The sequence below is a fragment of the Homo sapiens genome, chromosome 2 (assembly GCF_000001405.40).
Source record: "Homo sapiens chromosome 2, GRCh38.p14 Primary Assembly".
Lineage (NCBI taxonomy): Eukaryota > Metazoa > Chordata > Mammalia > Primates > Hominidae > Homo > Homo sapiens.
The window spans coordinates 67,086,007-67,100,513 of record NC_000002.12 but is presented as its reverse complement, the minus strand read 5'-3'; the positions used below and the strand labels follow the sequence as shown (position 1 = coordinate 67,100,513).

The 14,507-nt window shown below is 37.1% G+C and overlaps 1 long non-coding RNA gene across 1 annotated transcript in view; it reads right to left on the bottom strand.

Annotated features, from left to right (window-relative positions):
- Window positions 1-14,068, bottom strand: part of LINC01828 (long intergenic non-protein coding RNA 1828) — a 202,799-nt gene extending 188,731 nt beyond the window's left edge. Inside the window, exon 1 of the long non-coding RNA NR_110564.1 lies at window positions 13,959-14,068. This is a non-coding gene — a long non-coding RNA (long intergenic non-protein coding RNA 1828). The remainder of the gene's footprint in view (window positions 1-13,958) is intronic.
- Between the last annotated feature and the right edge of the window lie 439 nt (window positions 14,069-14,507).

The following is a 14,507-nucleotide window of genomic DNA, read 5'->3' as shown; positions in this document are numbered from 1 at the left end:
TCTCAGGTTGAATTATAATCCCAAATGTTGGAAGTGGGGCATGGTGGGAAGTGATTGAATCATGGAGGTGGTTTCTCATGAATAGTTTAGCACCATCCCCCCTTAGTACTGGATAGTGATAGAGTTCTCACGAGATCTGGTTGTTTAAAAGTGTATAGCGCCTCTTCCCTCTGTCTCTTGTTGCTCTAGCCATGTGACCTGCCTGCTTCCCCTTTGCCTTCTACCATGACTGATAATTTCCTGAGGCATCCCCAGAAGGTGAGCAGATGGGAGCATCACGCTTCCTGTACAGCCTGTGGAATTGTGAACCAATTAAACCTCTTTTCTTTATGAATTACTCAGTCTCAGGTATTTCTTTATAGCAATTTAAAAACGGACTAATACAGCATGTGTTTAGGGTAAGTTATTGTACACTACACAATAATGTATTAGTGTGTTTTTTCTTCTAAAGTTAGTTATTACTTTAATGATGTATCATGTATACGTTTATTACCAAGATTTAGTCTTTTCACTATGTATAAAAACTTCAAACCATCAGGTTGTCCATGGGAAATACACATAATCTTATCTGTGAATTTTTCTATCCCCAGAAGCCTGCACAAAGAAGGCAGTGCTCTTCCATGGGTCACTCCTGATCTACTTGTAAGTCTTTTTCTTCTGCTGAATGCAGGTTGCTGGGTTGCTATGCACCTTCTGTATCTTTGGGGAAGGACCATGATCTCTAATTCTCTAAGCAAACATTGGCCTTATCCACTTCATCATTGAATGAATCCTTTCTCTTTCTCCTTGCATTTTCTTCTCAGCTCCTGGACTCACCCCATCTTCTGACCCACACCCACTGCTCTCATGTTGGCTCAGAGGTGGAAAATAGACCTCAAAACCTTAACAAGTAAAATCTTCAGAAAACCAGACTACACGCTCCAACATTGTGAATAAAATGAAAAGGTGTTAGTGAGAGCTGTGCTACAGATGCAGTCAGACCAAGACGGTGCCAGCCAGGAGCAAAAGTGAATATGAAGAGGAAGAGAAATTGTGAAATACCTACACACATAGAGAAGGATTTCCCCTCAGTTTATTTCTTTACTCAATAATAATGTACTATCAGGTATTATCTGCTATTTTAACTCTTCCAGGAGTCCTAAAACTCACTCCCACTTCTAACAGAAACTTGTGGGAAAAGGATGTCAACTTAGATCAGTTTTCCTTTATTTAGTTTCTGAATTTCTCCATTAAGTTCAACTACATAAAAAAGTCAAGCATTTTTGCTTTGATTGATGCCAGAGGCCTCAAATTCTGTATAACAATAACTTCCTTTTTAATGGTGTTCAGTGTCCTAAGATAACAAATCCCTTTTTAAGAAAATACTTAATGCAAAAGTGTCCCATGTTACCAGGAATTAAGAATCTTTTAAAATATGTGATATTTATCTTCACTGAGACCTACTGAGCATTTATTTCCTGTTTAAAATGCCACACACGAGAAAAAACTTTAAAAAATGATGGTGGCGTACAGATGGGGTTTTGGTGTGGATGTCCTTTCTGTTTGTTAGTTTTCCTTCTAACAGTCAGGACCCTCAGCTGCAGATCTGTTGAAGTTTGCTGGAGGTCCACTCCAGACCCTGTTTGCGTGGGTATCAGCAGCGGAGGCTGCAGAACAGTGAATATTGCTGAACAGCAAATGTTGCTGCCTGATCGTTCCTCTGGAAGTTTTGTCTCAGAGGGGTACCCGGCAGTGTAAGCTGTCAGTCTGCCCCTATTGGGGAGGGGTGCCTTCCAGTTAAGCTACTCTGGGGTCAAATGCAAATCAAAACCACAATGAGATACCATCTCACACCAGTTAGAATGGCAATCATTAAAAAGTCAGGAAACAACAGGTGCTGAAGAGGATGTGGAAAAATAGGAACACTTTTACACTGTTGGTGGGACTGTAAACTAGTTCAACCATTGTGGAAGACAGTGTGGTGATTCCTCAGGGATCTAAAACTAGAAATACCATTTGACCCAGCCATCCCATTACTGGGTATATACCCAAGGGATTATAAATCATGCTGCTATAAAGACACATGAACACATATGTTTATTGTGGCACTATTCACAATAACAACACTTGGAACTAACCCAAATGTCCAACAATGATAGACTGGATTAAGAAAATGTGGCACATATACACCATGGAATACTATGCAGCCATAAAAAATGATGAGTTCATGTCCTTTGTAGGGACATGGATGAAGCTGGAAACTATCATTCTCAGCAAACTATTGGAAAGACAAAAAACCAAACACCGCATGTTCTCACTAATAGGTGGGAACTGAACAATGAGAACACTTGGACACAGAAAGGGGAACATCACACACCAGGGCCTGTTGTGGGGTGGGGGCAGGGGGAGGGATAGCATTAGGAGATATACCTAATGTAAATGACCAGTTAATGGGTGCAGCACACCAACATGACACATGTATACATACGTAACAAACCTGCACGTTGTGCACATGTACCCTAGAACTTAGTGTAATAAAAATATATATATATATATAAACTTTAAAAAAGTATTTATAAGCCTAGACATTTCCCAATATCTCAATGTTTGATATGATATAGACTAGCATAAAAACATTTGTCTAATGCTGTTTTCATTTGATTTTTGGACCCCATCTTTTTATGAAGATGCCCTAAGTGGTCTCTTGAAGGTAGACGAAATTGATATTATTAGTTACCTTTTCCACTCTAGAGTGGTTAAAATCCGCAAAAGGGAAAACTAGAAAGTCTCTCCTGAACTTCAGACCTGGCTATCCACTATCTACAAGGTATTTCCACCCGGTTGTGCCCCCGGGACTGTGACTCCCCAGGCCTTGCTCTGAAGGAAGCTGCTTCTGTCACCTCCTTTGCAAGAAGTGGCAACCATCTTGTTACTTAGACCAGAAACTCTGGTCTCATTTTTGACTCTTTCCTCTCTTTTCTATTAAATAAAAAAAAATCAGTCTTGTTTAAAACATTACAACATACACACACACACACACACACACACACACACACACACACACACCCTCTGTCTCTTCCCAATGAGATGTTCATGATCAGACCATCAACTCTCAGCCCAATTAGCCACTTAGTTGCCCTTTCAAACTCTGGTCTTATCTTCTCTAAATTATTTTTGTGTTTAATAGTCATCTTTCTCTCTTTGAATTCATGCTTGCAAAAAAAAATAATAACTTTTCTACATTCCAAATCAGATCATGTAATTTCCCCACTCAAAATCTCTAATGCAACACATTGGCTTCTAGAGCTAAGGCAAAATCCTAGCAGGCTGAAGTCAAATGCTTCTATCTTCAGCCTCACATTTTATGCCTCTGAGTTCCAGTCACATTTTACTACTTTAAGTCCCTTGAAATATTCCAAACATTCTCCCCTGCCTCTGACCCTTTGCATATGCAGTTATTCCTGTTCAACTGTTTGTTACTCAATGTTCAGGTCTTAGCATGGATCCCACATCTTCCAAAAGGCTTTGCCAGATCCTCTCCATTACCACACCTCTGAGAATACTGGGTCAATGAGGCAATGTTCCACTGATAGACTCCTGTAACCACCTATGTCACATGAAGTATCATCTGTATTTCAAATTTCCTCTTTTTTACTCTGAACGCCTCAGTAAATGAACAATTTGAACAGAGAATATAGCTCTGAACCCAACAGAATTCCCACCACAAAGTAGTTATACCATAAGTATTTGCTAGATGATTAAGTGAATGAGTGAATGAATGAATGAACCTCAATGTCTCATAACCTCTAGTTGAAATCAATATCCTAAAACAAGTTCATGTCCCAAACAAGGACCTGAATGCCCCAGCCAGTTAGAAGCCCAGAGGAATTACAACCTCCTTCTCAATGACAGCACCAATCTTGGCAGTCACCATACTGAGGAAAATATTTGTTCCCTGCTGCAAAGGAGTACATGGACAGTAAAAGCCAAGGACATGAAAGCTCCATAATGGAATCTTCCCTAATATCTCTGGAAATGCAATCCCACAAATTTGTGTGCAGTGATGAAAAAGCAATAAGCACATTTCCCTAGCAGAAGGACTGTTTACAACAAAAGACATGAATGGATGAACAGGTATCCTTCCCTTCTTCCCTCCCTTCCTCCCTTCCTGGTTCAAGCACACACATATAAACTCACAAACATACACTTACACATGACCATTTGCAGCCTCTGGTTGTAGAGGAGTAGGACAAACACAAAAACAGGTAATATTTTACAAATACCTAAGGTGAGCTCTCAGTTCCATTAAATATTTATCAGCCAGCGCCTGTCCACCGAGTACTTTGTTATACTTATTTTTTTTTTTTTTTGGTCTGGAGTTAAACTGATGACCTTAGCCAAAGATAAAAAGGATTTATAATGCAGATATATACAACACAGCATCCCAGAAACACCTATCCTCAACTCACCCTATTGACGTCAGATTAGAAAGGTGCTGCTAGGCTCAGACGTATTCTGAGCATCTGTCCGGTTCGCTTGGCATCACAGAAAAGAAAAAGATAGGAACAGATTTGGCAACTGTGGTATAAATTATTTGGTCTTAAGGGCTGATACACCCCTAAAGAGAAAAGGAATTAACCCCAGGCCAGGCTGACTGGGGGAAGATCAAGTTTACTGACACTGCTCATTGGAGGAGGGACTGGGAAGGACATGGAGGGTGTGTGGCTCCTCATTTTCTTAGGGCAGCTAAAGCCCCTAAATGTGGCACTGATAATAAGATGATATATTGTCAATGATGTGTGTGGCTTTCCTTTCCTTCCCCCAGTTATTAAAGCTGTATTCAGTTGGAGACACATAGTAATTTGCTGAAAATCATGATTTGCTAAGAAACTGTCACAAAACCCCAGGAGCCCATTATATTAGTAGAAGTGACAAGAAAATAAATATTTTTGACAAGGGAGTGTTCCTATCTAGAAAAGATGGTTGCAACGTCGATGGTTATTCAGGGAATCAAACTTATTTAAACACACTGTCTCTGATACTTAATAAATGTTATCGAGTGGCTTTTTGCAGCTAATAAAACTCGGTTTACATTCCACCCCGTGCCCACTCTGATTCGCCTCCCTGGGCTCACTTAAAGTGCATTAAGAAGCAGCAAGCCAGACCAGGACGATTTGCTGCAAAACTTTTAAATAATTCATTTGTGCACCACTGCTTTCAGACTGTTTTTACAAATGCTGTAATGAGACAAGCTGTGAACTGTTTTACATGGGAAAAAAGGCAGCAAAGTCACTGTAAGGCACTTCCCATGCCTTATTTCCCTGAGATTCAAGACTAAACAACAGAAACATTTGTGCTATTTACCTAGTCCCCATACATACGGCATCAACTAGGTCCCATTTATGCTTCTTCGTTAACTAGAATTAAAGGCATGCCATATTGGAGAGACTTAATTCCTGAGTTAATTTATAAAATTGATATAAGTCCAATCCAATTCCCAAAAAGCTATTTTGGGAGAGGAACTTCACAGTTATTTTAAAATTTCTCTGAATTAACAACTGAGCAAAAATATCCACCAAATGTAAAATTTTTAAATGATGTGCACTTGAACTGTAAGATAATGAAGCATATTATAAAGCAATGGCATTTAAGAGTGTGGCACTAACCACAGAACACATAGGCAATCAGTGAAACAGCCTGAAAAGTCTAGAAACAGGTGAAGAATATTTACATCTTCAAAACACAATAGACGCAGAAGTACAAACCAGTGAGAGAGAAATTTTTTTTAAAGATGATTCAACATTTGGTTACTTATCTCATAAGAAACTGTATTCACAGAATTTGCCAATTTAAATTCCAAAGAGAGGCAGGGCGCAGTGGCTCGCATCTGTAATCCCAGCACTTTAGGAGGCTGAGACAGTCCTATCAATTGAGGTCAGGAGTTCGAGACCAGCCTGACCAACATGGTGAAACCCCAACTCTACCAAAATTACAGAAATTAGCCAGATGTGATGGTGCACACCGGTGGTCCCAGCTACTCAGGAGGCTGAGGCAGGAGAATCACTTGAACTGGGGAGGCAGAGGTTACAGTAAGCCTAGATTACGCTGCTGTACTCCAGCCTGGGCAATAGAGTGAGTGAGATTCATCTCAAAAAATAAATAAAATAAATAATAAATAAATTCCAAAGAGAGGAATGCCTTGTGTCATAAGCAAAATCACAGAAGTTCTAAAAAAATTAAGTGAACATATATGTAATCTTGGAGAGGGGAAGATCATTCTAAGCATAACAACAAAGAGATAAACCACAAATGAAGAGATTATATTATTGAGAAATATAAAAACAAACACCCGTACATAAAAACAGTGTCAACAAAATTAAAAGGTAAATAACAAGTTATTTATTATTTCTTAAAGGGTAAATAATTTAAAAAAATATTTTAAAATCATAGAACATAGTGTCTCATGGATTTCTTGCACATCAAAAATAACATTTTTTTAAATGAGTACAAGATGGCACATGTATACATATGTAACAAACCTGCACGTTGTGCACATGTACCCTAAAACTTAAAGTATACTAATAATAAAATTTTTAAAAAAAGATATAATTAAGACAAGACAGAAAATTTCCCATACATAAAATGCCAAGATACACTATTTTGTTTATTTGTTTAATTTTGCCTGTCCCAATAGCAAGGATAAAAAGACTATATACTGCTAATATTTAGTAGGATGTGGGGAAAAAAATCACCTTCCTATACTTTTTTGGTTTTTTAGATAGGGTCTCGCTACGTCACCCAGGCTGGAATGCAGTGGTGGAATTATGGCTCACTTCAGCCTTGACCTCCTGGGCTCAAGCAATCTTCTCACCTCAGATCCCTAGTACCACGCCCAGCTAATGTGTTTTTTGGTTTTAAGTAGAGACAAGGTCTCACTATGTTGCTCAGGCTACCTTCTTACACTTCTGATGAAAGTATTAGTTTTTCTTTTTTTCTATAGGGAATATTCTCAAATGACTGTGTGCTCCAAATATTTTTTTAAATATTTAAATGGGAAAGTTTTATTCTAGAAATTTATATAAGGAAGCAATTGGAGGAATTTGTAAGTATGTATGAATAAAAAAGTTTATCAAGTTATTTATAATAGTAAAAACTTAAGGAAAACAAACTTATCTGAAAGCAGCGTACATACATAGAATGGAATACTATATAGCTATTAATTTTTGGAAAAATATTAATAAATGGAAATATTCATGATATTTTAAAAATAAAAGGCTACACAACAGCATGTAAAATATGCTACTAATTTCATATAGATATATATGATATGCACACACATATGAAACTGAGACACATTGAGTATATAAGGACACAAAAAGGATGAAAGTAAAATGTGGGTAAAATTATGCTAGAGAGCTGGTAAGAAAAATGAATCTAATATAGTTACAATGTCAGACAAATTAGTCTTTAAAGGAAAAGCATCACTAGAGATTTTTAAAAAAGAGTTACCACATCTTTCTTCTTTTTTTAGCCTTTGTGAAATACTTCTAAACTCACAGAAGAAGGGCAAGAATACTAAAAAGAATTTGAGGATACTCTTCACTCAGATTCACACATTGATATCATTTGACCACATCTGCTTTATCATTATTTCTTTATAAATACACATTAGTATTTTTTCTGAGCCACCTGACAGTAAGTTACACACAAGATGCCCCCTTACCCTTAAACCCATCAATGTGAATTTCCTAACAACAAAAACATTCTTTCACATAATGCAGTGCAATGATTAAAATCAGAAAACTTATACTGATGTAACATTATGATATAATTTACGGTCCATATTAAAGTTTTGCCAATTGCCTCATAATGTCCTTTATAACAATTTTTTTCCTTGGCCCAAGATCTAATCCAGGATCATGTATTGCCTTTCATTGTCAAGTCTTTTTGATTTCCTTTAATATGGGTACAGTTTCTTAGACTTACTTTGCCTTTTGTTATACTGACATTTTAAAAGAATATAGGCAGTTATTCTGTAGACTATTCTTAAATTTGGGTATGTCTGATGTTTATGCATTTTTGGCAGGAATACCACATAAGTGATGTTGTCTTCTTCTCATTGAATCACATCAGGAAGCCCATGAGCCAACATCATTCATAATAGTGGCCCAGTATTCCACTGTTTGGTGAACCATTTAAACCAATTTCCTACTGTAGTACATTTAGGTGGATCTCAACTTTTAAATATATGATAAACTATGCTGCAGTAAATATTCTTGAACACACATATTTGCATGGCTAATTTCCTTTGGGTAAACTCTACCGGTGAAACCACTGAGACAAAGGGTAAAGGGTAGATATATATTTTTTTTTGATGGGCTATTCATCATTTAAGCATTTATCACTTTTTTGGGTTACAAACTGTCCAACTGTAAAGTTTTATTTTTAAATGTACAATAAATTATTGTAAGCTATAGTCACTCCATTGTGCTATGAAATAATAGCTCTCATTCATTCTAACTAAATTTTTGTATCCATTTGCCCACTCCACCCCTACCCCTATCCCACTACCCTTCCCAGCCTCTGGTGACAATCATTCTATTCTCTATCTCCATGAGTTCAATTGTTTTTATTTTTAGCTCCCATAAATGAGTGAGAACATGCAAAGTTTATCTTTCTGTGCCTGACTTATTTCACTTAACATAATGTCCTCCAGTTTCATCCATGTTGTTGGAAGACAGGATCTCATTCTTTTTATGGCTGATTAGTACTCCATTGTGCATATGTGCCATATTTTCTTTATCCATTCATCAGTGGTTGGACACTGCAGTTGCAATCTTGGCTACTGTGAATAGTGCTGCAATAAACATGGTAGTATAGATATTTCTTTGATGTACTGATTTCCTTTCTTTTGGATACATACTTAGCAGTGAGATTGCTGGATCATATGATAGTTCTATTTTTAGTTTTTTGAGGAACTTCCATACTGTTCTCCATAGTGGTTATACTAATTTACACTCCCACCAACAGTGTACAAGGGTTCCCTTTACTCCACATCCCTGGCAGCATTTGTTATTACCTGACTTTTGGATGCAAGCTATTTTAACTGGGCAAGAAGAAATCTGCCCAGAACAATGTCCTGGAGAGTTTCCCCAATGTTTTCTTGTAGTAGTTTCATGGTTTGGGGTCTTAGATTTAAGTCTTTAATCCATTTTGATTTGATTTTTGTATATAGTGAGAAATAGATGTCTGGTTTTTTCCTTCTGCCTATGGATATCCAGTTTTCCCAGCATCATTTATCAAAGAGATGGTCCTTTCCCCAATGTATGTTTTCAGCACCTTTCTTGAAAATGAGTTCACTGTAGATGTATGGATTTGTTTCTCCACTCTTTCATTGGTCTATGTGTCTGTTTTTATGCTAGTATCATGTTATTTTGGTTACTATTGCTCTGTAATATAATTTGAAGTCAGGTAATGTGATTCCTCCAGTTTTGTTCTTGTTGCTCAGGATGGCTTTGGCTATTATGGTTCTTTTGTAGTTCCATATATATTTTAGGATTATTTTTTCTATTTCTGTGAAGAAACTTATTGGTATTTTGATAGAGGTTGCATTGAATTTATAAGATTGCTTTGGATAATATCAACATTTTAAGCCATATTGATTCTAAAATGTATTACTACATCTTGATAATATCCAAGTGAGCATGAAGCTCACAATTCTCAACTTGTTTGCCCTTAACACAACTTCAAAACACATAAAAGAAAAATCAACAACACAAAGAGAAATTATAACTAAATTACTTGGTAAAATAAGATATATCAAGAAGACAAAAAAACTCACAAAATGTTTTAAAAGTATAATTAATAAGTTTAATCTAATAGACACACAAAAAATATTCCCCTTCTCTCACCTTCTCTCAACTACCCCTACTGCAGAATAATATAAATTCCAAGCATACTGTGACATTTATAAAAATTAACCACTTTATTGTCTTCAAAGCATGTCTAAATAATCTTTCAAGGAAAGGTATCAGAAAAAACACATTCTGTATCTGCAAATAGTGTAGTTTAGTTATTACCAATGAAAATATCTCTTTGGAATAACTATATACTTGCAAACTAAGAAAAAACCCTTTTACATAATTTATAAGTAAAAGCCAAATTATAGAGGGAATCGAAAGTACTCATGATCAAATAATAAGAAAGTGCTACTTATAAAAACCAATAGAATGAAATTAAAACAATACTTAGAGGAAGATGTATAACCTTAAATCAATGCATTGGAAAATAAGAAAGCCTTGGGAATATGGGAGCTAAATACTCAAAAAGTGAAAACCAAACAGAATTGATCCAAAGGAAATACAAAAGTGACAAACTATGAAGGCAGAAATGAATAAATTAGAAAACAAATGTATAATAGAAGAGTTAAATAAAAGTTTTTAAAAAAGACAAACCTCAAGAAAGACTGACTAAAAAAGATATAATAGAGATTTCAAAAGATAGTAAAGGGAATAGTAGAAACAACTATACATCAGTAAAATTTTACCTGTAGTTAAATACATTGGAAGAAAAATACCAATTATTAAAGCTGTTAGTAAAGCAAGAAAAAATAACTTAATTATCCTATAATCTCTAAAGGAACTGGTTCAATAGCTAAAAATCATCCCATGAATAAAACAGTGGATGTAGAGGGATTTTTAGGAACAGATATTAGTGAATATTTGCATAAAGTCCTTCAGAAAACAAAGAAATGCTCCCCAACAACTTATATGAGGTTACTGTAACAAGCCTCAAATATCAAAATTATAGGCCAATTTGACTCATTACCACAGATGCAAAAATTCTAAATAAATATATTTTCAAACCCAACCTAGGAATGTGTAAAAACTATCAAGTTGGCTTAGCTCAGTTGTGCTAAAAAAAAAAAAAAAAAAAAAAAGGTGGGTTTAAAATTTCAAAGATCAATAGTGTAATTAGTACATTCACAGATTAAAGGAGAAAAACCATATAATCAACTCAATATGAAGCAGGAATAGTGTTTTATAAAATACAACATTAATTCATGATTTAAAAAACTCTCGAAAAATTAGAAATAGATAAGAATTTATCTATCCTAATGAAAGATAGTTATAAAAGAAAAAGCATAGAAAACATCATTTTAGCAGCGAAAAATTAAAAGCAATTTTTAAAAAATCAGAAACACACCAAGAATATGTACTATCATCACCTTTTTAGTTACCATCTTACACAGGACAGTAAGACAAGAAAAAGACAAAATTATAATGATTGCAAAGAAAAAAAACTATCATTATTTGTAGGCAATAGGGTTCTTTATATGAAATCCCAAAAGAATGTATAGGAAAACTATTAGAAATAATAATGAAGCACATCTATTAGGTAAAGATACAAAATTCAACGGACTCATCAACTCAAATGTCCAACAACAGTAAAATAGACAAATTCTGCCATATCAATATATAAAGAAGCACCATGCTAGGTCAGTCATCTACTGGACTGCATCTCCCATCGGTTGAGGATTTCCCCGGGTAGTATAAGCTTCCTTCCCCCACAGTATTGGGTTTTTTGGGCTGTGCTTGTGCCTTGGCCAAGCATGTGGCTTCAGAGGAGACTGGGTTAGAAAGACAAGTGGTGCATTCTGGTAAGGGATGTAGCCTATTCCAGCTAATACCTCCTGTTGAAATCAGAGTTCAGCTGAGGGAATGAGATACTGGGCCTCAAAGGTGCCAGATACACTCATACTAAAGAATTTGAACTTTTCTTTTTTTAGGCAATAGACTCTATTAAAAAGTTTAATGAGTGAGTGTCTGCTTTGTATAGCTGGGTTGGTAACAAGAATTCTTGGTAAGAAATAGTTAAGGTAAAGAAGATTGAGGGAAACAGATATGGGGTTTAGTTTGTAGCATTGTGATTTGAGTTTCTGTGAGACATCATCAAACTGCAGCTTTCATTTAGAAGTTTAAAATACCGTGTGCAACTCAGGGAAAGACCCAGATCAAGAGGACTACCAGGGGCAGCAGAAACTGTGGAAGAAAAGATCACCTGGGGAAGCATGTGAAACAGAAAGAGAAGACCACAGAGCTCTCCAGAGCTCCAGAGTTTAAAGGGTGAGCAGAGGAAGAAGAACCGACAGAGGAGATGGGAAAAAATAATAAGGTAGAAAAATAACCGGGGAAAATAGGTCCAAGATCTGGGTGCAGTCGCTTTGATGAAAAGAACAGACAACAACATCAAATGCTAAAGGGAACCATGATAATGAGGTCTGAGAAGAATTAATTAGATTTCATATTTAAAGATAACAGGTGACTGTGATAACAATAATTTCAGGAGAAAGCTTGTGATAAAAGCCAATGGGAACTCAAGTGAAATATAAGTCTAAGTAGGGAAGCACTAGTCACAGTTGCATTGAGGCTGGGAGATAAACTAGAAGGTTGTGGGGAATCCAGGCAATAAATTAAGAAAACTTGGGCTAAGGCAGCGGCAGTGATGGTGAGAGAGCATGGATAGCAAAGTTTTGAGGTACATATGTGAAGTATTTGGTGACTGAGTAGACTGTAGGGCATAGGGCTGAACACAGCCAAGAAGTGAGACGTGTTGAAGGTGTCCTGGAGAATTCTATCTAGCCTGCGAGACTGAGGGACAGATGAGTCATCAAATAGTCTTAGAATACATGAGATGGAACAATTCGGGGGAAAACATATGATTTCCATTTTGGACATGGGATGTGTGAGATGGCTAACATGTGATAGTCTATTAGAAATATCTAGGAAACTCTTGGACTTATGAAGCTTAAACTTAGAAGAATGGAGATGAAAACACAGATTTGTAATTTATCTACATATGGAAAGATAAAGTTACACAAATAAAATAGTATATATGGCTTTCCACACAGGGAAGGGACTGTCCTACAAAGACTGAAGAATCCAGGCATGAAACATGATGGCAAAGGACCTTAATGTAACTGTATTTGGAGGGAGGACCTTTAAGGGGTAATTAAGGTTAAATGCAGCCATGAGGGTGGGATCCTGAGCCAATAGAATTAGTCTCTTATAAGAAACACCGGAGATATAACAGAGACAATTACCCAATTCTTTACCAAAGAGATTCTTCTGTTCTTACATGGGTAAAGGCCTGAAAGACTTCTGTGTTCTTTTAAACTAGGGTGGAAAGACTTGCAAGAAAAGTAGAAAAAGCCTGCCTTGAAAATTCTCCTACAGTTCCCAAATCTGTAGCTATAAATGAACTGCAAGATAGGGCAGACTTCATTCTGTAAACAAGAAATAGTTCTCAGACAAAAAAGACTTGCATTTGGCTCTAAAATGAACATTTATGGGGCTTGATAAATTACCTTTTTTTCTCCCTACTCCAAGATATCTGGCTTTCTCTGCTTTTACACGTTGCCTCTGATTAGGGCTTTACATTAAATGTATTTTTTTTTTTTTTTTTTTTGAGACGGAGTCTCGCTCTGTCCCCAGGCTGGAGTGCAGTGGCGCCATCTCGGCTCACGGCAAGCTCCGCCTCCAGGGTTCATGCCATTCTCCTGCCTCAGCCTCCCGAGTAGCTGGGACTACAGGCGCCTGCCACCGGGCCCAGCTAATCTTTTGTATTTTCAGTACAGACGGGATTTCACCGTGTTAGCCAGGAAGGTCTCAATCTCCTGACCTCGTGATCCACCCGCCTCGGCCTCCCAAAGTGCTGCAATTACAGGCATGAACCACCGCACCCGGCCCATTAAATGTCTTTTATACCCCACCTCACCCATGCTACCTTTCTTCAGCTGCTTTTTATGAAGATAGCTTGGAATGTGATTTTGTGCTTCTCTTCCTTCAAAGGAAGAAATGTAGATTTGTTTAGCCTGTTTGAAGCAGACACTAGATACATACTGATGGGCTTGTATTCATCTCCTCGAGCTACCAAAATGAAATACCATAGACTTAAACAACAGAAATTAATTTTCTCACAGTTCTGGAGGCTAGGAGTCCATGATCAAGGTCTGGCAGGGTTGGTCTCTGGTAAGGGCTGCCTTTCTGGTTTGTAGACTATGGCCTTCTTGCTGAGACCTCACATGGCCTTTCCTCTGTGGCTCTCAGAGCAGAGAGAGAAGGAGAGGGAGATGGGAAGAGGGGAGGGGAGGGGAGGGGGGGGGAGAGGAAGTCTCCTCTGGTGTTTCTTATAAGAGACTAATTCTATTGGCTCGGGATCCCACCCTCATGGCTGCATTTAACCTTAACTACCTCTTAAAGGTCCTACCTCCAAATACAGTTACATTAAGGGTTAAAGCTTCAACATATTAATTTTGGGTGAACACAGTTCAGCCAAGGTGAGCAAGAGCTCATCTTGCTGAGATAATTCAAGAGGCAGAAGAACCCAGCACCAAATGGCTGTGGGTCTTGAGTACCTGTTTAAGTTTTTAAGAGGATTATGGAGAGTCTCCTAAGAACTTAAAAGGCTGCTCGTTGACTTTATTCTTTTTTTTTTGATATTTTAGACAGTTGGTCTTTGTAAACACT